Raw genomic sequence first — 22,343 nt, 5'->3', positions numbered from 1 at the left:
GGAACCTCTCAGCATGATTAACACAGGCAGACGGGACCTGAAGGGGCCGCTGGTCCTTCTGAAAATGTTCACCAGGCAGTGTGAGTGTGGAGAGGCCATGCGCAATGTGTGGGACTCTGCCCTGCACCCACTCAGAGCCTCAGCCCTTCAGAGCCACTAATAATGATTTGCTGTGGGTGGGGTCATCCTGATACTTCCCTGAGGTCTCTTTTCCTTTCAATTTTTCTGAGTAACTGAGAGGATCATATGACTGCATGCCACCTAAACTAGGGTTTGCACAGCCCCCTTTCTGTGCAGGGAGGGCGCAAAGCAGCAGAGTGTCTGTGACCCACCTGCCACTTTTCCAATGCTACTACAAGATTTGCAGGAAACGGTCATTTATCAGGAGCCATCTTTATTAAAAAAGATAAAATAGAGCAGGGCAGGGGAAAAGCGCTGCAGGCTCCAACGTTGCTGGGCACGTGGCAGCATGGGCGTCTCACCAGGCTCCTCCCCACAGCTGTTGGCATCCACTGTCAGGTTTCAATGTTCTTGGACCTCAGGGCCTTCGTCCTCTCCAATCTAAATGCAGGGAGACATTTGATATGGACTCTCTCAGGTGTTTTGCAAAACGCAACACATTCTCATTGATCTGGTCACCCTGCTGTGCACTAGATGTCAAAAGCTCTTCCTCCAGTCCAGACTTTGGTCCTTTAACCGACAACCCCCCATTCCCTCCCTCTGTCACTCTCCAGCCCCAGTTCAACATCGATCTACTTGCTACTTCTATGGGGTCAACTTTTTCAGATCAACACTTCCAGGACATCATGTGGAATTGGTCTCTCTGAGATGGTGGAGATGCTGAGTAGCGGGATTTCCTCATTCCACGGTGCACACATCTATCGAATCCTCACATTGTACCCCATAAGTGTACAAGCATGATTTGCCAATTAAAATAATACTAATAAAGACATAATAAATACCATAAAATGCAGGAAGTGTGGTTTCACTACCCCACCTACTTGGTTTTTGTCTTCACTACTGCCGTCCAACTACTTCTTTGGGGTGATTTTATTGGTTGGAATGTTCTGCGCTGGGCTCAAGTGACCGAATCTTAGCAGAAATGAAAGTCATCTTCTGGCAGCCCTGCGGCAGCCCTGGTTTCTTGGTGAGGCTGACGTCACAGCCTCTGGCTGCCCAGCTTGGAGGAAGCTGGCTTTCTGCGATGGTTCTCGCTGGGCCAGGGACGTTTCTGGGTCTCTGTCACTGCTTCTGGTGCTCTGAGTGGAGGGGGAGGCCACAGGGTCATGCTGGGGGCGTCACTAAAACTGTCTGGCTTCCTCTGCAGGCCAGCAGGTGCACTGGCAGGAATGGTGGTCTTCTGCCCTGACTTCTGGCTGTCCTTGGGCAGCTGAATTTTAAAAGTGTGACAAGCTGGCTTGCTGTGAGTCCATTTCAGTGGGAGCAGGAAGGTGGAAACTTCGGTGGATAGGGAAAGACAGGTGGGAACCCCAGGAGGAAGGGACAGTTCTCTGAGGGTAGAGTGCTTCCTCTTTTGTTTTGGATGCTCTAAAATGAGGTATGGGGCCATGGGATAGTTGAATTTTCTTTCTACTATTGACACGGAGATGTTCTCAGCCCGGAATCCCATGACCATCATGAGCTGAGTTGTTTGTGGCTTGGGTGGTCCAGGAGTGGCACTTCATATGGTATCACTGGCATCTCCCGACCACTGTTCTCCCATGGGTCCCTCATCAGTTGTTCCAGTGGGGGGCTGCTCCCTGGGGTCTAGTGTTAATAACTTTTTAATCAGTCTTTCAAGTTGAAGGGAAAAAATGGTGGGACATGGTATTTTCTTGTGATAGTTTTATTATTGAGGTCTGTAGGGCTCCCTGAGTAGAAGGGCAGGGTCCAGCCACCATGGAATAGAGAATGACATGGAAGCTCCATATGTCCATGGTGGGGCACTGGCACTCCCAGGCCCAGGAAGAGTTCTGGGGCAGGAATGGTGGTCTTCTGCCCTGACTTCTGGCCCTCGTCAGGCAGCTGAAAATTAAAAAGTGTGAACAGCTGGCTCCCTTTGAGCCCTCTTTGGTTCCATGGGGAAGGTGGACTTTGTCAGATGGGGAAGAACAGGTGGGACCCCCAGGAGGAAGGGACTGTGCTCCAGTGATGGAGCCCTTCTTCCTCTGCACTTTTCCTGTACCCCAGGATTAGGTACGTGGCCATGGGATAATTACATGCGTATTTTTTTGTGGGGGAAATACTGATTCGGAAATGCATGGGGCCTGAAATCCCATGGGCACCATGACCAGGCTTGTAGGGGGCCCAGGTGCCCAGGCTCTCTGTATGGTGTCAGCAGCATCTTCTGGCCAAAATTGACCCAGGGGTCACAAGTCAGCTGGTTTAGTGGGGGTCGCTCCCTGGGGTAGAGGGTGAAAAATTGTTTTACTAGTGTTTCCAGTGGAAATGAAAAAAAATAGGTGGGGTGTCATACTGTCATATAGCCTGAGGTGGGAAGGGGCCACAGGTGGGGCTGGATGTTCTTTCAGCCTCTCTGGCAGAGATCACAGACAGAGTGGTCAGGTTGGCCAAGCTTTTGAGGGCTGGCTCTGATGTAGGGGAGGGAGGCAGTCCCCAGAGCAGAAATGCCTTCCCTGGGGCTCATATCCTTGCAGGGGAAAAGCTGGCCATCCTCCCCTCAGAGCCTCCTTCACTGCAGCCCGTGGGAGGCGAATGACCTGGGGAATCCGTGCCCCAGGGGCAAACCTCTGGGTTCTGGCTTCAGCCCCACCCTGGGGAAACATTCACAGCCCCTTGGGAGGAGAGCCCTGCTGCAGGAACACTCTAGGGGAGGGCCCAGCTGCGGGAGTCCTGGTCTGTTGGTGACAGTACCCCAGGCTCCAAACTCTCTCGGCCTGGGGGCAGTTCCCTTCTCTGGTTACAAGATTCCCATCCCTCACTGCCCTACTGCCTGCTCCGCGGGGAAGTGGCCCGGGAGTGGAGGCGTGGACAGGCAACCCGGTGTCTCGAGTCGGGGGACAGCCTGGTCAAGCCCCCAGGCTCCAGAGCAGCAGCTAACAGGTGTCCGGCGGCGTAGGGTCTCCATGGAGACGGGGGCGGGGCCAGGAGGCGGTGAGCGGCGGGGGGCGGGGCTTCCAACGGCCATCAGCCCCGCCCAGCCTGGGCAAAGAGAGCCCGGCCTGGGAGGCGGAGCCAGGGACCCCCGGGCTGAGCCTGATTTCTGAGGGCGGCCGAGACCACCTCCCTCCAGGGGCTGCTGTGCCCACAGGGACCGGCGCCCTCTGTGCGTCCCACGGCTCCTGGCCCCGTTCAGCGCCTCCAGAGGCCTCACCCGGGCCCTCTCCACTGGGTCCACAGGGGCCTCAAAGCGCTGGCCCAGACGCGGGGTCACTCCCCTGAGCCTCCCGACCTTCCCATGCATTGGTCCTTTGGAGCCCTGGGTTCTGGAGTTTGTCCTTCCTAAATGCCGCCAGCCAGGACGCGGCTGCTCCAGGACCACAGCGGACCGAGTGCGGCCGCGTCCCCTGCGGGCCACCCATCAAGGGCACAGGGGGAGAGGCGTCGTGTAGGGTCCAGCCCTACTGGGTCTGTGGGTTTTTCTCCTCGTTTGCGGAGACGAGAGATTGTAGAAATAAAGACACAGGAAAAAGAGACAGAAAAAAACAGCTGGGCCCGGGGGACCACTACCACCTAGATGCGGAGACCGGTAGTGGCCCCGAATGCCTGGCTGCACTGTTACTTATTGGATACAAGGCAAAAGGGGCAGGGTAAGGAGTGTGAGTCATCTCCAATGATTGATAAGGTCATGTAAGCCACGTGTCCACTGGACAGGGGGCCCTTCCCTGTTTGGCAGCGGAGGCGGAGAGAGAGAGGGGGGACAGCTTATGCCATTATTTCTTCTATGCATTTCAAAGACTTTTAGTACTTTCACTAATTCTGCTACTGCTATCTAAAAGGCGGAGCCAGGTGTACAGAGTGGAACATGAAAGCGGACCAGGAGCGTGACCGCTGAAGCACAGCATCACAGGGAGATGGTTAGGCCTCCGGATGGCTGCGGGCGGGACTGACTGATGTCAGGCCTTCCACAAGGAGTGGAAGTCCTCCTGCAGAATTGTGGAAGTCAGCGCTTCCACAAGCGTTGGCGTTACCGCTAGGCCAGGGAGCCCTCTAGTGGTCCTGGCCGGGCGTAACAGAGGGCTCACATTTGTCTTCTGGTCACTTCTCACTGTGTCCCTTCAGCTCCTAGCTCTGTGTGGCCTGGGTTTTCCTAGGTTGTAATTGTAGAACAAAGATTATAATATTGGGATAAAGAGTAATGTTACAAACTAATGATTAATGATATTCATATATAATCATATCTATAATCTATTTCTAGTATAACTATTCTTATTCTATATATTTTATTATACTGGAACAGCTTGTGCCCTTGGTCTCTTGCCTTGGCACCTGGGTGGTTTGCTGCCCACAATGTCCCAAGGTGTAGTGACCAGCCCTGCCCGGGGCTGACCCTCGGGGTAGGGAGAGGGCACTAACTCGGGTCCTTTCCCCTTCCTCAAGCCTCCTTCCTCAACTGGGGTGAAGGGCTCCCAATCCCAGCACCTCAGGGGCCTTCCTGTTTCATTGATGCCAACAAGTGAACATTGATGCCAACAAGTGAACATTGACCATCTCCCATGTGCAGGGACAGAGAAGACAGACACGCTGGCCCCCGGGTGGGTGAGAGAGACTAGTCTATCAGTGCAGAAAACATTCCATAGAGATAGGGGCTAGGAAGGAAACACCAGGAAAAGTGAGGGTGGGAGATGGAGGTGACCCTACTGCAGATGGGGTGCTCAGGGAGGGCTTCCCTGAGGAGGTGACATTCACTTGATTGGCAAAAGGGATGGTCAGGGCCTGTGAAAGTCTTCTAAGGGAGGGAACAGCAGTGCCCAGCGGGGTGGGACCCACGGAGTCCGAGAAAGGCTTGAGCCTCAGAAGATGAGAAAGCAGGAAGACCCACTTCCAGGCCTTCACAACCTTCTAGGGCACAGACGGTGAAAATGGCTCAGGCCAGAGTTCAGTTTAGGTTTCAGAAGGATGCTGGGTCCCTCACACTTTTCTTGAGGCTAAAGGGCTCTAGCTCCTTGGGCCCTTTCTATGCAGACATGGTTCTGGGGCCCCGGCTACATGGACACCCTTCTGGTGGTTGTCTTCTGCAGCCAGATGGGGGGTGTGGGGCGACCTGCCCCTTCCTTGGCCAAGTGGACAGATGAAGGGAGCCTCTGGGGGCAGGACTGCTGGACTGAGAATTAGGCTTGGAGTGTAACTCAAACGCCCCACGGGCCCTACCTCTTCTCTGGAGCTCTGCTTCTTCAAGAAAACTGGGGATAAGGGACATCAAGACCCGCTCTCAGGACCCTTGCCCCTCCACCCCGTGATGCTTCTAGATGGCTCTCAGGGGCCACCTTTTTCAGGAAGAATTCTTGGGATATAGGAAAGTAAAAGGAGGAAACATGTTTTGAGTGGCACTTAGATCAGGCTCTAGACTGGGTGTTGGTTTGGTGGGGTTTGCTTTTTCTTTTTCTTTTTTTTTTTGAGACGGAGTCTCGCTGTGTCCACCAGGTTGGAGTGCAGTGGCGCGATCTCAGCTCACTGCAAGCTCCGCCTCCCGGGTTCAGGCCATTCTCCTGCCTCAGCCTCCCGAGTAGCTGGGACTACAGGCGCCCACCAACACGCCGGCTAATTTTTTGTATTTTTAGTAGAAACGGGGTTTCACCGTGTTAGCCAAGATGGTCTCGATCTCCTGACCTCGTGATCCACCCGCCTCAGCCTCCCAAAGTCCTGGGATTACAGGCGTGAGCCACCGCGCCCGGCCGGGGGTTTGCTTTTTCTACTGCCCAACACCCCTTCACAAAACCTGGGTCCTGGCTAGGCTGGGAGTGAGATTCCTGTGTCTAGATGTTCATCATTCCGTGTTGCACAGGAGGAGGTCTGGGGGAAAACAGAACAGATACTAGCAAGTGTATAAAAAGATAACTTTGAGAAAACCTAGAAGAGGAATCAGGATGGGGGGATTATGAATGGCAAAGGAAGAACTGGGGGAGAGGGAGTTGGGGGTGGGGCTGGGACAAACAGAAAGGAGGTGGGGGAGGGGGCCAGGGAAATAAAGTCCAAGAAGTCAGCAGGGACCAGAAGCCACAGCCTTAGTCGGGGTATCAGGAGAGCAGCAAGCTGCATGTACCTTGGAAAGGTGGAGGAGAGGACTGCAGCGAGCTGGGTGGGGAGGAAGGGAGAGGTGGCAGGGCAGAGGAAGCAAGGGACAGACAGGAGGAAGAGATGGTGCTCTGGGCCATGTGTCCGCCACCGCTACCATCACTGAAAACTGGAAAACTCTTTGCCTTCTCCTTACCCCTGTCACCATAACTACCCCATTCTCTCTGCCCCCCGTTCTTTAGTAACACGTGCTGGCAAGTAAGGAGCAGAGTCTTCTTTGAGGTTGCCGAGGAAACCCTCAGGGGCAGCTGTGAACCCACCAGCCTTGTCCCGTAGAGAGCTCAGGATCCCCAAGATTGGATGGGCAAATAAGCTTAGTGAGTGACAGTCCCACCAGCCTTGCTGAGAGTCACAGTAGGCGTCCACTCCCCCTGTGGGTCCCCAAGCCTGCTCTGCTGGGCAGCCTCAGGGACCCAGAGCTGCACTTCCAATGCTCTGCAGACACACCTCGGGCTTGAATCCCATCTCACCAATTCCACATGTTGGATATAAAATACTCCAGGAATAAATGCTCAGTGCCACGAGTAAAAACAGCACTCAAGCAAAAGTTTAATTCTCTCAGCAAGGCAATTTACTTCTGCAGAAGGGTGTCACTCCTGTCAATCAAGATCGCAAGTGCACACAGAACAAAGGAGACCAGGGGGTTTTATCCTTAAAGCAGTCCCTATCCCTATCTCTGTACCACTCCCCCATGGGCTGAGGTCAGACTGCACAATCTAAGCTGACCCGATTGGCTACTTGTACATATTTTCCTAAATACAGCAGGGGAGGGAGACGTGAGGTACAGAGGTGAATCGTGTGAGATGTTCAGTTTCAGGGGAACAATGGGTGCAGGTAACCAAGGGAACAGATGTGTTATTGATTAGAGCCCACGGGAAGTGGTAGGCTGTTTACGGTAACTAGGGGCAAGGGAGAACAAGAAAGTTGAGTTTCAGAACAAAGGATAAGGAAGTTTTTTGTTTGTTTGTTTGTTTGTTTTTTGAGACGGAATCTCACTCTGTCGCCCAGGCTGGAGTGCAGTGGCACGATCTCGGCTCACTGCAAGCTCCGCCTCCCGGGTTCAGGCCATTCTCCTGCCTCAGCCTCCCGAGTAGCTGGGACTACAGGCGCCTGCCACCACACCCGGCTAATTTTTTGTATTTTTAGTAGAGACGAGGTTTCACCGTGTTAGCCAGGATGGTCTTGATCTCCTGACCTCGTGATCCGCCCGCCTCAGCCTCCCAAAGTGCTGGGATTACAGGCGTGAGCCATGGCGCCTGGCCAGGATAAGGAAGTTAACAGGCTAAACCCTTTGAAGAGAAACTCAGAAAGATTTATTGTATCTTACACACAACTATTGATTGAGGGCCTACTGGGTGCGAGGGCTGTGTGGCTGTGGGGGGAGGCAAGGTCCCTGCTCCAGTGGTAGTGACAGGTGTAAAACAAGATAACTTCAGAACCTAAGAAGGGGGACAAAGCAGAAAACTGGGAAGTGGCTGGGTGTGTGTGGGGCAGCCTGGGACGGGGTAAACAGCAAATCTTTGCCATCCCTTCCTGTCTAGATATCATTGGGGATGCTACTCAATCTCTTTGCAGCCTCAGTGGCCTAACCTGGACGGTGGAGCTGGAAAGCCCCCCACTGCCTGTTCCTCCTCTCTGGGCTGCCACTAAAGAGCCTACCCTGCTCAGGCCTGCTACCCACCCTCCATGGCTGTCATTCCATGCCAAGAAGAATATTCTCCCAAAAGGAAGCCACTGGCTGCAAAGGGAGATGAACAAGTCAAGGTTGCCCGGCCTGCACCTAGGGCTGCGTGGCTCCTGAGGCCCGGCCTGTGTGGACACAGGAGGGAGCTTTCTTTGTTTGTGAGTTTTCCCTGGTACCTGGAACCCCTTCTCTATGGTCCCTTGACTCAGCCCATCTCACTGAGACTTGGATCCCTGGCTTCTAGATTAGAGACGTCAAGCTCTACTGCAGGACATGAGCCAGAAACAATTCTGGCCTTCTCCAAGGCCAGTGGAAGCCAGGAGTGGGGAAGGCGTCTTCACTCACAGGGCTGGCACTTCCAGAGAGTGGATGGCAGCAAGGAGGGGAAGACAGACTCTGAAGGAGCACAAGCAGGGCCCACAGGGACCCTCTCTCTGGGGTTGCAAACTGGCATTAAGTGGAGGGAGATTCAGTATTGACACCTGGGGGAATCTCATCCCCAAAGTGGATTTAAAAACGGCAGCAAACTGAAGAGAAAAGGGGTCCACAACACTCCCATCCTGTCCCCAGCCCACTTCTTACTTCCTGGTCCTGCTATCTTGGGGGGAAGGAGAATCTTAACTGCTTTTCTCTGACTTCTGGCCCTGCTTGGGCAGCTGAAAATGACAAGAAGGAAATACTGGCTTGCTTGGAGGCCTCTTTGGTTTTGCTGGGAAGGTGAAAACTTTGGCAGAGGGGAGGGATAGGTGGGAACGCCAGGAGGAAGGGACGGTGCTCTGATGGTGGAGCGCTCCCTATTCTGTTATTTCTTGTGTTCTCAAATGACATATGTCCCATGGGATAGGTGATTTCTTTTCCATTGTTCACACTGAGATGTTCTCAGCCTGGAATCCCATGGCCACAATGAGCTGGGTTGTTTAGGGTTCGGGTGGTCCAGGAGTGGCTCTTGGTGTGGTGTGAGTGACATCTTCCTGCCACTGTTCACCCACGGGTCCCAAATGAGCTTGTCCAGTGGGAATTGCTCCATGGGGTCCAGTATTATAAGTTTTTATTCTTTTTTTTTTTTTTTGAGATGGAGTCTTGCTCTGTTGCCCAGGCTGGAGTGCAGTAGCGCGATATCGGCTCACTGCAAGCTCTGCCTCCCAGGTTCACGCCATTCTCCTGCCTCAGCCTCCTGAGTAGCTGGGACTACAGGTGCCCGCCACCATGCCTGGCTAATATTTTGTATTTTTAGTAGAGACGGGGTTTCACCGTGTTAGCCAGGATGGTCTCGATCTCTTGACCTCGTGATCCACCCGTCTCGGCCTCCCAAAGTGCTGGGATTACAGGCATGAGCCACTGCTCCCGGCCAAGATTTCATTTTTTTAATTTGAAATGAAAAAAATGGTAGCAAGTAGCTCTTTTCTGTTCTATCTTGTTCTTGAGGTCCATAGAGTTAAAGCGCAGGGACCTGGCCATTGTGGAATAGAGAATCATGCTGAGGTGTTGTTTATCCCATGGTGGGTCACTGGCACCCTGGAACCAGGAAGAGTTCTGTGGCCACATAGGGGTACATGCCACAAAAAGGGTTTCCGAATCTCCTTTCCCCGAATGTCATGCTAAAGCCAAAGTCCACGATTTTTATATTGCGCTCTTCAGGGAGTAGGATGATTTGTAAGCTTACGTCTGCATGTGCGACGTTTTTATAGAGGCAGTACTACATTGCTAACAGAATTTGCCCAAACATGGTCTGGGCCTCCTCCTCTTCCTTGATGTGCCCTTGGTGGCATATCTGGTGCGGCAGCTCTCCTCTGGCTTACAACATCACCAGGCAGATGGTTTCTGCCTTGTCAAACACCTGATAAACCTGATTTATATTTGGGTGGTTAAGAGTCTTCCTGATACTCATCTCTGTCTCTGGAGAGCAAGGCCAGTCTTCATAGAGATGATTTGGAGGACAACCTGGGTCTCAGTTAACCTAAGCTGGGCCAGTTCCCTGGGGAATGGTGTCTATGATCTGCTAATTTAGTATTTCCTTGTGAAGTGAGGTGGAGACCGATCCCTGCTTTATGGTACCTCCTCACTACACTGCTCCAAAGGGAGATGAACAAGCCAAGGTTGCCCGGCCTGCACCTAGGGCTGCACAGCTCCTGAGGCCTGGCCTGGGTTGACGCTGGTGGGGGCTCTCTCTGTTCCTAGGTTTTGTTCTGGTGCCTGAGGCCCTTTCCCTATGGTCTCTTAACCCAGCCCAGCAGGCTGAGGCTGGAGCCCCGGATTCAAGAGAAGAGATGCCAAGCTCTACCACAGGTCATGGGTCAGAAACAATTCTGGCCTTGTCTGGTGCCAGTGGATGCCAGCTCTGAGGGAGGCACCTCCTCTCAAAGGGCTGGCACTTCCAGAGGGGCCCTTTGAGAGCTCAGTGGGGCTGACAGGGACCCTCTCCCTGTGGTTTAAACTGCCATTGGGTGGAGGGAGATTCAGTACTGACACCGAGTGGACCCTCACGCACGGAGTGGATTTTAAGGACACCAGCACCCTGCATAGACAAGAAGGTCCACAACACTTTTACCCTCTCCCCAGCCTGCTTCCTGCTTCCTGGTTCTTCTGTCTCGGGGGAAAGGGGAATCTTATCTGACTTTCTCTGACTTTTGGCCCTGCTTGGGCAGCTGAAAATGACAAGTAAAAAATACTGGCTTGCTTTGAGCCTTCTTTGGTTTTGCGGGGATGGTGGAAACTTTGGCAGATGGGGAGGGACAGGTGGGGACCCCAGGAGGAAGGGATGCTGTTCTGATGGTGGAGCGCTTCCTATTCTGTTATTTCTTCCCTTCTCAAAGGAGGTATGTGACATGAAATAGTTGAATACTTTTCCAGTGTTGACACTGAGAGGTTCTCAGCTTGGAATCCCATGGCACCATGAGCTGGGTTGTTTGGGGTTCGGGTGATCCAGGAGTGGCTCTTCATACACTGGTAGTGGGATCTTCTGGACACTTTTCACTTAGAAACTTTCCATCACTTGTTCCAGTGAAGGACGCTCCCTGGAGACCAGTATTAGTAACATTTTAATAAGTCTTTTCGTTCATAGATTAAAAAAATTGTGGTAAGTGGTATTCTGCACTGATAACTTTGTCTTAGGTCTGTAGGGTTCCCTGAGTAGAAGGGCAGGGACCTGACCATCGTGGAATAGAGAATAGTGCTGAGGCAGGACACGTCCATGACAAGTCAGTGGTACCCCGGGCCCAGGAAGACTTCTGTGACCATGTAGGGGTACGGGCTACAAAAGGTTTTTGGCATCTACTCTCCCCAGAATATTGCCCTAAATGAAAAGCCCATGATTTTTATATTGCTTTCCTCTATGACTAGATGGATTTGTGGCTTTAGCTCTGGATGTGTGATGTTTTTAAGTGGTAGTACCGCAGGCCTGACAGAATCTGCCTGAAGTTTATCAGGGCCTCCTGATGTGGCTGCCTGATGTGGCCATGGTGGCATATCTGGTGGTGCTGTTCTGTTTCTTGCTTCTCTAAGTTGTGGATTTTGTGTTGTAACTTTGTCAATTACCTGGTACGCGTTTATAATATTTGGGTGGTTGACAGTCTTCATGATACTCATCTCTCTCTCTGGAGAGCAAGGCCAGTCTTCATAGAGATGATTTGGAGGACAACCTGGGTCCCAGTTAACCTATGCTGTGCCAGTTCCCTGGGGAATGGTGTCTATGATCTGTTAATTTAGTATTTCCTTGTGAAGTGAGGGGGAGACCGATCCCTGCTTTCTGGTACCTCCTCACTACGCCGCCGCAAAGTGAAATCAACAAGCCACGGTTGCCCAGCCTCCACCTAGGGCTGCACAGCTCCTGATGTCCAGCCTGGGTTGATGCTGGTGGGGGCTCTCTCTGCTCCTGGGTTTTGTTCTGGTGCCTGAGGCCCTTTCCCCCATGGTCTCTTAACCCAGCCCCACTGGCTGAGCCTGGAGCCCCAAATTCTACAGAAGAGATGGCGAGCTCTACCACTGGTCACGGGCCAGAAACAATTCTGGCCCTGTCCAGTGCCAGTGGATGCCAGGTCTGAGGAAGGCACCTCTTCTCAGAGGGCTGGCACTTCTAGAGGTGGTGGATGGCTGCAAGGTGGGGAAGACAGACTCTGAGGGGCCCTTTGAGAGCTCAAGTGGGGTCCGCAGGGATCCTCTCTCTGAAGTTTAAACTGCCATTGGGCGGAAGGAGATTCAGTATTGACACCTGGTGGACCCTCACCCCCAAAGTGGATTTTAAGGACAGCAGCACACTGCGTAGACAAAGGGGCCCACAACACTTTTGTTCTGTCTCAGCCTGCTTCCTGCTTCCTGGTTCTTCTGTCCTGGGGGAAAGGGGAATTTTATCCGACTTCCTCTATTCTCTGACTTTTGGCCCTGCCTGGGCAGCTGAAAACGACAAGTAAACAATACTGGCTTGCTCTGAGCCTTCTTTGGTTTTGCGGGAAGGTAGAAACTTTGGCAGATGGGGAGGGATAGGTGGGGACCTCAGGAGGAAGGGACGCTGCTCTGATGGTGGAGCGCTTCCTATTCTGTTATTTCTTCCCTTCTCAAAGGAGGTATGTGACATGAAATAGTTGAATACTTTTCCAGTGTTGACACTGAGATGTTCTCAGCTTGGAATCCCGTGGCACCATGAGCTGGGTTGTTTGGGGTTCAGGTGATCCAGGAGTGGCTCTTCGTACATTGGTAGTGGGATCTTCTGGACACTTTTCACTTAGAAACTTTCCATCACTTGTTCCAGTGAAGGACACTCCCTGGGGTTCTGAGTTAGTCACTTTTTAGTAAGTCTTTTCATTCATAGGGAAAAATAAATTGTGGTGAATGGTATTGTGCACTGATAATTTTTTCTTGAGGTCTGTAGGGTTCCCTGAGTAGAAGGGCAGTGACCCGACCATCGTGGAATAGAGAATAGTGCTGAGGCAGGACACGTCCATGGCAAGTCAGTGGTACCCTGGGCCCAGGAAGACTTCCGTGACCATGTAGGGGTACAGGCCATGAAACGTTTTCAGCATCTACTTCTCCCTGAATATTGTCCTAAAGGCAAAAATCCGTTATTTTTATATTGCCTTCCTCTATGACTAGATGGGTTTGTGGCTTTAGCTCTGGATGTGTGATGTTCTTTAAGCGGCAGTACTGCAGGCCTGACAGAATCTGCCTGAAGTTGATCGGGGCCTCCCCTGCTGCCTGATGTGGCCGTGGTGGCATATCTGGTGGTTCAGCTGTTGTTGTTGTCGTGTATCATCATATAAGTTGTTTCTGGCTGGTCAATTACCTGGTAGAGCTGAATTATATTTGGGCGGTTGGGTGTCTTCATGATACTCATCTTTCTGCAGAGCAAGGCCAGTCGTCTTAGAGATGATTTGGAGGACAACCTGGGTCCCAGTTGACCTATGACTGGCCAGTTCCTTGGCAAATTGTGTCTATGATCCAATAATTTTGTATTTCTTTGTGAGTTGAGGTGGAGACCAATCCCTGCTTTATGGTACCTCCTCACTATGCTGCTGCAAAGGGAGATGAACAAGCCAAGGTTGCCCGGTTTGCATTTAGGGCCGCACAGTTTCTGGGACCAGGCCTGTGTTGACACTGTAGGGGGCTTTCTGTCTTCGTGGGTTTTGTTTGATGCCTCTTGCCCCTTCCTTATGGTCTTTTTACCCACCCCAGCTGGCTGATCCTGGAGTCCTGGCTTTTAGAAAAGAGATGTCAAGCTCTACCGCAGGTCATCGCCCAGAATCAGTTCTAGCCTTTTTTGGTGCCAGTGGATGCCAGGCCTGAGGAAGGCACCTCCTCTCAGAGGGCTGGCACTTCTAGAGGGGGTGGATGGCAGCAAGGTGGGGAAGACAGACCCTGAAGGGTCTTCAGGATCTCAAGTGGGGCCCACAGGGACCCCTTCTTTGGAGTTGCAAACTGGCATTGGGTGAAGAGAGATTCAGTATTGACACCTGGTGGACCCTCACCCCCAAAGTTGATTTTAAGGACAGCTGCACACTGGGTAAACAATGGGGCCCACAATTCTTTTGCTCTCTCTCCAGACCTCTTCTTCCTGACTGGTCATGCTCTTTTGTGGGGAAGGAGAGTCTTACCTGACTTTTGGCCCTGCTTGGGTAGCTGAAAATGACAAGTAGGAAATTCTGGCTTGCTTTGAGCCCCCATTGGTTTTGCTGGGAAGGGGGATATTTCTGCAGATGGGGATGGATAGGTGGAAACCCCAGGAGGAAGGGGCGGTGCTTGATGGTGGAGCACCTCCTCTTCTCTTATTTTTTGTGTTCTCAAATGAGGTATTTGCCATGGGATAGTTAATTTCTTTTCCACTGTTGACACTGAGATGTTCTCGGTCTGGAATCCCATGGCACCATAAGCTGGATTGTTTGGGGTTCAGATGGTCCAGAAGTGGCTTTTCATACATTGGTAGTGACATCTTCTGGACACTTTTCACTTAGGGATCTTTCATCACTTTTTTCAGTGAAGGACACTCCCTGGGGTCCAGTGTTAGTCACTTTTCAGTAAGTCTTTCCATTCGTAGGGAACAAAATTGTGGTGAATGATATTCTGCACTAATAATTTTTTCTTGAGGTCTGATAATTCTTTCTTGAGTTGAAAGGCAGGGACCCGGACATCGTGGAATAGAGAATACTGCTGAGGCAGTATATGTCTATGGCAAGTCAACGGTACCCCAGTCCCAGGAAGATTTCTGTGACCATGTAGGGGTATACCCCACAAAAGGTTTTCAGCAATCCGCTGCTCCCTGAATATTGTGCTAAAGCCAAAGTCTATGATTTTTATTTTGCCTTCCTCATTGAGTAGGATGTTTTGTAGCTTTAGGTCTGGATGTGTGATATTCTTTAAGTGGCAGTACTGCAGGGCTGACAGAATCTGCCTTAACATGATCCAGGCCTCCTCCCCATCCTTGATGTCGTGGTGGTGGTGTATCAGGTGATGCAGCTCTCCTCCTCTGGCATACTCCATTACCACCTAAATGGTTTCTGCCTTGTCAATCACCTGGTAGAGTTGAATGATATTTGGGTGATGGAGAATTTTTATGAGCTCATCTCTGTCTGGAGAGCAAGGTCAGCCTTTTAAGAGATGATTTGGAGGACGACCTGGGTCTCAGCCTATGCTGGGCCAGATCTCTGGCGGGATGGTGCCTATGATCTTATGGTTTTGTATTTCTTTATCAAGTGAGGTGGAGGCTGATTCCTGCTCCATGGTACCTCCTAACTACGCTGTTTACAAGTCCTAACTCTGCAAACTAGGCTAAGATGCACAGCACCACTGTTGCTAACTAGGCTAAGGTCACTAACTGTTGCTGACAATACCTCAGCTGCCAACAGACTGGATCCCTGACCTATTGCCCACTTCACAGGGAAGAAGCAGAAATGTGGACACATGGACAGACTCGTGGTGTCTCCTGGTGGGACAAGCCTGGGCACCATGGCTGCAGGCACAGACAAGGCAGAGACTGGGGCAGGGCCAGGTGCTGGGGGCGGGTCTGAAACAGAACTCCCATGGGCAAAGGCCCTGCCCAGCTTGGTCTCCCTAGGCACAGCCTGACCCCTATGGGCTGCTGTGGCCACATTTCTCCAGGCAATGCTGTCCCCACACTGTTGGGCACCGTCAGCAGGTTCTGCAGCTCCCGTAGGCACTCAGCACCTCCAGATACCTATCAGGAGGTCCTCTCTGCTGTGTCCCCAGTGGCCTCGAAGCACTGGGCCCAGTACAGGTTCACTCCCCTGAGCCTCCCAACCTTCCCATGGGTCCTTTGGAGCCCTGGGTTTTGGAGTTTGTCCTTCCTAAGTACTGCCTACACAGACGTGGCTGCCCCAAGACCACAGCTGACTGAGTGTGGCTGGGTCCCCTGGGGGCCACCCATCAAGGGCACATGCTACAGGCACCCCAAGGCAGAGTGGCCTGGCCTGCCCGGGGCTGACCCTTAGGGTGAGGAGAGGACACTAACTGGGCAAGAGAGACTAGTCTATCAGTGCAAAAAACTCCCAATAGGGATAGGAACTAGGAAGGAAATACCAAGAAAAGTGATGATGGAAGATGGGGGTAACCATACTGCAGATGGGGTACTCAGGGAGGGCATTTTAACATGCTTCCCAATGGACAGAAATCATTTTTTAAAAATCCTGCACATAGCTCAGGCTCACCAGACAGACTAACTCCTAGTACTTGGAAATGAATTAAAATCTGGCAGTGAGTTAAAAAAAAAAAAAAAAAAAAAAAAAAAAAACAAACCTTTTTGGCTGGGCATAGGAGCTCACACTTGCAAATCCTGCACTTTGGGAAGCCAAGGCAGGAGGATCGCTTGAGCCCAGGAGTTCCAGACCAGCCTGGTCAATATGACAAGACCCTATCGCTACAAAATATATATTTACAATAAGAATTTACCAGACATGAAATTCAGACCATATCCATTCTAGACCCCAGAATATCACTATGACCAGTAAAAACGATCTATGGCCTGGCACTCAGCAGGTGCAGGTCAATGTGGACAGATTCTTTCCCCCCGTCAGCAGGATAGGAACATCTTCCCTCTCCAAAAGGCATCTGCTGAGGAGCCGCGGTTCTCTGGAATTATGCTGGGCACCCAGATGTGTGCACCTAAGGCCATAGGACAGTCAACATGGAGTGCACTCGAAGGCACTTAACTTTTTTTCAAGAAACACTCTTAGGAGTTTACGTTAACCCACTTCCCACCTCATAGCACATAAGGAGAGTCAGACATTTTGACCTCAGTAAGACGTGACAAATGACAATAGCTGGACCCCACAGCAACCAGTTACTTTTGTAGAGAGGAAAATTATGCTCATTGGCTTCAGGTGAAGACCCCTAGATCCAGGCCAGTGGATTTACAAGTGAGAGTCAGCAGCACTGGGCATTTTGGGCAATGGCTCTGAACGAGCCCTTTACCATGCGGGTAGGTAAACCCCAGAACATACAGGTGCCCCTTACGATGCGCAGGTGGGGAGGGTACGTGGCCGAGAGAGCATGAGCTTATGAAACAGACTGGGCTTGAATTTCACTGAGCTTTTGTCTGTGGACCCATGGGAATGTGGCATAGCCTCGCTGAGCCTTAGTTTCCTCCTGCATGGAATAGGGATAGCAACAGTACCTGCCTCATTCAGTTGGCGTGAGGATCTAGAACAGCGCCCACATGGACTGTCCCAGTCAAAATGGACTGACCTGCACCTAGAGGAAGCGGCAGCTCTGGAGCCCTTTGAATTGAAAGTGCAGCGCAACCCTGCTTGCCACTGGCAGCCTCTGCTTGGCTGTATGGTATCCTCCCTCCTAAAAAGACCTGGGGAGATGAGCGAGACCCTGGCCCCTGGCTGCTTTGAAGATGACCACAATGTGACTTCATCTTTTCATCCTGCAGGGCCAGGCTTCTGGTCAGAGGCTGCTCTGCAGGCATCTGTGATTCAGGTGTTGCACAGCTGGACAAAGCTGTGAGGATTGAGTGGGAAGATGCCTGTAAAGTCTGACCCAGGAGCAGCATCTCAGATTCTGGCTATCACTCTTATTAGCTGTTCTCTATGGGAAGCACTTGACTAGTAGCCTGGCACATCATAGGCACTCCATAAATAGCGGCTTTTATTATCGGTGTAATCACTGGCCATGATTCTGCACACAATGCTGCTTTTCTTAGCATCTGCCAACTAGAGTGGAAAAGATGGTCAAGGTCTCTGATTCTGACAGCAATGTGGGCACTTCCCACGTACCTTCATGGCGGGATTCATGGACTTGATTCATTGTGTCCTTTCCTGGCCTAGTCTATGAAAGCTAGAGAGATGGCTGAAAACATCTGACTCCTTTCCGCACGTAAGGAAATGCCTAGGTATGTTCCTGAGCTGTGTTTCCATCTAGAACCTGAGATGGAGGAAAGAATGGCTTCCAACCCCCTCTCCCCTACTCCTTCCCTCTTTATCTCCTCACAGTCAATTAACGAGCTGCTCATTTTGTCCATACTCCTGGGCTGATATTGAAGGAGTGGCAAGGAGGGATGTGATGCCAGCCTTGGGTTAGGTCAAGACTTGTAGGCATGAAGAGAGAGGAGACTGGACCAGACCAGGACTAAGAAGCCTGGCTGAGAACCAGCTGTGCCACGTAAGGGGCTCTGGGACCTCAGGCCAGCCACTTTCCTTGGAGCCCCAGTCCTCCCAGTTCTGAAATGGGGGTGGTGAGAATGCCTGCTGCAGTCATGAGGCTTAACTGAGATGTTGTAAAGGGGAATTCAAATCAGGGATGGTTGTGCAGATACTAGCCATTACTAAACAAGGGAAGTGATCGTTGTGTAACAATGATCTAGATTATATTTTTAGATGTCCTCAGTGTAGGTAAGTGGAGATGGAGGAGGCTGTAAGAGTCAGAGGAGGGAAGAGGCATCTCCATGGAGGGAGCTTCCCTCTCCTGCCTCAGCCAGAAATGCCAGCAGGGAGGAAGACGACAAATCCCTAGAATAGGTGTTGCTTGCTTTGGGCACAGAATGAAATTTAAAGTCTTCCCTCTAGATTGTCACCTCCTTACACCCAGGAACTAAACACGTACCTCATCTTAGCATCACCCACACTACCTAGCACAGTGCCTTCGATGGGTCCTTTGCTCAGCAAATGTTTGAATGGCAGAGTCAGGACTGAAAGCCGGTGCTCCTTCCCCAAACCGCACAACTCCTTGCCACGCTGACTGCCCCGAGAGTGGGGCGGGCACTCAGGCATATCACAGCTGAGCATATGATGGATGGCTAACACTTGGACTTGCTGGGAGGCACAATTTGAGTGGAGTTTTAGAAATAGACTCATTCACCCTCTGAGACTCACTCACCCTCACTCACCCTCTGAGCTATACTTTATCTTGCTGTTGCTTTCCAAACATGAAGTCACCACCACCTGGAGAAGCCCTCCTAGGGCTCGCTGTCCTACTTGGCAGCCCTGACAAACCAGTTCTTGCACAAGATTATATAAATTTTGAAAGGAAACCAAAAATTCCAAGACTGTATCTCATGCTTTATCCCTCCTCTCTGGGCAGGATGGCCAGAGGCAGAGGCGACAGATGTTGCCTTTGTCTTGAGACTGCCTTTCCTAACTTTTGACAGTCCTGACCTGCTGTGTCAGCAGGATGGCCTTGGTGCAGCCAGCAAGACTTTGCTGCTGAATCTTTTTTTTTTTTTTTTTTTTTTTGAAATGGAGTCTCGCTCTTGTTGCCCAGGCTGGAGTGCAATGGTGCAATCTCGGCTCACTAACCTCAGCCTCCCGGCTTCAAGCGATTCTCCTGCCTCAGCCTCCCGAGTAGCTGGGATTACAGGCGTGCGCCACCATGCCCGGCTAATTTTGTATTTTTAGTAGAGATGAGGTTTCTCCATGTTGGTCAGGCTGTTCTCGAACTCCCGACCTCAGGTGATCCACCCGTCCTTGGCCTCCCAAAGGGCTGGGATTACAGGTGTGAGCCACTGCACCTGGCCTTGCTGCTGAATCTTAAGGTCCTGGCAGAGGAAGCCCCAGGCCACCCCTTTGGCTCCTCTTGGCTGGCCACAGTCAGGGAGCAGCAAACTGCATTTATTTTTGAGGTCAGGATGGCAATCTTGGAAGAAAACCTTTTAATAAGCAGAGCTAGTTTGGGGCAATTGAGGGAGATGAGTTCCTGGTGGATGTAGTGCGTGGGTTTGTAATGGGGCAGACAAGGATGACGAGGACACAGTCCAGGAGAAGCTGTTTGTGCCCCTCGTCCTGCTGCCACTTCCACCCACCTCATTCCCTTCTTCCTCTTGCTTTCTGGTCTTTTTCCTCAGATCTGAATTCCACTAAATTTCTGAATTCCACTAACATTTCTTGAATAGCTGCTCTGTGTCAGGCATGGATGATGGGCATTTCCCCAGTAAGTCTTGCAGTCAGGAGTTTCGAGGGTATCATCAGCTTAGAAGAAGTGGGCTCTAGCCTGAAGCTGAGTTGTGTGGGGGAAAACACAGACTGACAGAGCCTAGCAGAAGGGAAACCTGGAAATTTCCCTAAAAATCTTTCAAAGGTACACATGCTTTGACCCAGCAATTTCATTTCTAGGAATTTATGCCAAGGCGCCAAGTTGGGACAGATGCAAGGACTTAGCTAGAAAGATGCCTGCTATTTACAATACAAAAAAGCTGGCTGGGCACGGTGGCCCATGCCTGTAATCCCAGCACTTTGGGAGGCTGAGGCAGGCAGATCATCTGTGGTCAGGAGTTTGAGACCAGCCTGGATAACATGATGAAACCCCATTTCTACTAAAAATACAAAAAATTAGCCAGGCATAGTGGCACGTGCCTGTAATCCCAGCTACTTGGGAGGCTGAGGCAAGAGAATCACTTGACCCTGGGAGGCGGAGGTTGCAGTGAGCCGAGATCACACCATTGTGCTCTAGCTTGGGCAACAAGAGCAAAACTCTGTCTCAAAAAAAAAAAAAAAAAAAAAAAAAAAGCCATAAGCAGCAAACATGTCCAGTAGAACTGGTCAAAGAAGCTGTGGACCATCCACAAGACAGGATAAAATCCAATGGTAAATACAATGCAGGAGGGCCCGGGCAGGAGGGAGGTGTGCTGGCTGTAAAAGGGTAGTGCAACACCCTTATGCCCTTTGCCCAGTTTCCCCCAATGGTAACAGTGTGCAAAGCTCTAGGGTGATCTTTCCTTCTATGTCAACATGTGTAATCTCCCCTGACAGTCATGACTAGATGACTGTGTATATTATGTTGTATATTATGCATATATTATATATACACAAAGAAAAGCTCTAAGCAAATGTATTCCAATATGTTTAGGAGTGATTCTGTCTTGAGGATGGGATGCTGAGGGCTAAAGTTTCTCGCTAGCGCGCATCTCTGTTTTATGGCAATCTTACAGTAAGCACCATCTGTGTGGGGTGCAGAAGGCAGAGGGGAGACCACCCCACATTCGGGAGGTCAATCTCAGCCACCTGTCTGTGGTTCTGCCCTCCCCCATTCTGTGGCTCCACACTTCAGGGCCCCATTTCTGTTGTGGGCTCCTCCTAGTTCAGGGGACTCATGCAGAGTCCCATGCTCCCTTATTGGCTCACAGACCTCAGCCCACACCCCCCACCCACTCATTCTCTCTCTCCCCTGTCTCTCACACACACATCACCACCATCACACACGTGCTCATGCACACACCCTGCTGGACTCCCGGCTTTGCTTCTCTCTCCACTTGGCCTCATGCTTGGCTCTCCACAAAACACACTCTGCTGACGACACTGCATACCCTTCCCATCCCTACAGAAAGGGGACAAGGAAGAAACTGAGGCTCAGGGAGGTTGAGCTGTTTGCCCCTAGTCACACAGGTTGCAAGGAGTGGAGACAGGGCTGCAGGTTCCAGGCCCAGGCTGCCTCCCACGACATCACAGCTGCCATTCTTCTCTCCTTGCTACTCTCTCCCCAAAGCACCAGCAAAGGGCCCAGCTTCCCTGGTCTTGTCAGCCTTGCCAGTGCTAAGAGTGGACAGGCACTCCCAGTTACCTGCGGCACCTCCACGGCAGAAATGGAGAAGACATGGAGGCAGAAGATCTTGGAGCCATTGTAGCCGACCACAAAGCCCTGCAGCTTCTGCCGGTGCATAGGGAAGGTGCTGGCTTTGATGTTGAGGTAGCCTCCTCCCGAGAAGCAGAGCATGCATGTCCTCACACTGGGTGTTCCAGGCCACACTGTTGGCGTTTGGTTCCTGGGGGACAGGGATGGTGGGGATCCTGTGAGAACCACTCTGGGCTTGGGCAGTGCTTGCACATTTCAGCCCAATACCCTCTTAAAGACTGAATCCCCTCTCCCTCTCCCTCTCCCTCTCCCCACGGTCTCCCTCTCCCTCTCTTTCCACAGTCTCCCTCTGATGCCGAGCCACAGCTGGACTGTACTGCTGCCATCTCGGCTCACTGCAACCTCCCTGCCTGATTCTCCTGCCTCAGCCTGCCCAGTGCCTGCGATTGCAGGCGCGCGCTGCCACGCCTGACTGGTTTTCGTATTTTTTTGGTGGAGACGGGGTTTCGCTGTGTTGGCCGGGCTGGTCTCCAGCTCCTCACCGCGAGTGATCCGCCAGCCTCGGCCTCCCGAGGTGCCGGGATTGCAGACGGAGTCTCGTTCACTCAGTGCTCAGTGGTGCCCAGGCTGGAGTGCAGTGGCGTGATCTCGGCTCGCTACAACCTCCACCTCCCAGCCACCTGCCTTGGCCTCCCAAAGTGCCGAGATTGCAGCCTCTGCCCGGCCGCCACCCCGTCTGGGAAGTGAGGAGCGTCTCTGCCTGGCCGCCCATCGTCTGGGACGTGAGGAGCCCCTCTGCCTGGCTGCCCAGTCTGGAAAGTGAGGAGCGTCTCTGCCCGGCCGCCATCCCATCTAGGAAGTGAGGAGCGCCTCTTCCCGGCTGCCATCCCATCTA

At 51.9% G+C, this 22,343-nt stretch overlaps 1 long non-coding RNA gene and 3 pseudogenes across 2 annotated transcripts, besides 2 other annotated features; all 4 read right to left on the bottom strand.

Moving 5' to 3' along the window:
- Positions 1-377: 377 nt before the first annotated feature.
- LOC124909346 (uncharacterized) lies at positions 378-21,801 on the bottom strand. 2 transcript variants are annotated; one of them, XR_007095819.1, is made up of 2 exons: positions 21,437-21,801; positions 378-561 (listed from the first exon to the last, which is right to left on the bottom strand). It is a non-coding gene; the product is annotated as an uncharacterized LOC124909346 (long non-coding RNA). The 2 variants fall into 2 exon arrangements; XR_007095820.1 differs by lacking the exon at positions 21,437-21,801 and adding an exon at positions 1,002-3,064.
- Positions 3,111-3,390: a silencer, noted in NCBI's record as "silent region_14071". NCBI's record gives its function as "represses an Ori minimal core promoter by ATAC-STARR-seq in GM12878 lymphoblastoid cells {active_cell/tissue: GM12878}" and the evidence as "EXISTENCE:reporter gene assay evidence [ECO:0000049][PMID:35858748]".
- Positions 3,941-4,000: an enhancer, noted in NCBI's record as "active region_19455". NCBI's record gives its function as "activates an Ori minimal core promoter by ATAC-STARR-seq in GM12878 lymphoblastoid cells {active_cell/tissue: GM12878}" and the evidence as "EXISTENCE:reporter gene assay evidence [ECO:0000049][PMID:35858748]".
- Positions 8,693-9,880, bottom strand: LOC100421505 (microtubule affinity regulating kinase 4 pseudogene; annotated as a pseudogene).
- LOC100421504 (microtubule affinity regulating kinase 4 pseudogene) lies at positions 10,047-11,610 on the bottom strand (annotated as a pseudogene).
- Positions 13,611-14,983, bottom strand: MARK3P2 (microtubule affinity regulating kinase 3 pseudogene 2; annotated as a pseudogene).
- Positions 21,802-22,343: the final 542 nt, after the last annotated feature.

Source organism: Homo sapiens, chromosome 3 (genome assembly GCF_000001405.40).
Source record: "Homo sapiens chromosome 3, GRCh38.p14 Primary Assembly".
NCBI lineage: Eukaryota > Metazoa > Chordata > Mammalia > Primates > Hominidae > Homo > Homo sapiens.
The sequence above is the reverse complement of the archived record's forward strand: the minus strand, read 5'-3'. Positions and strand labels throughout refer to the sequence as shown.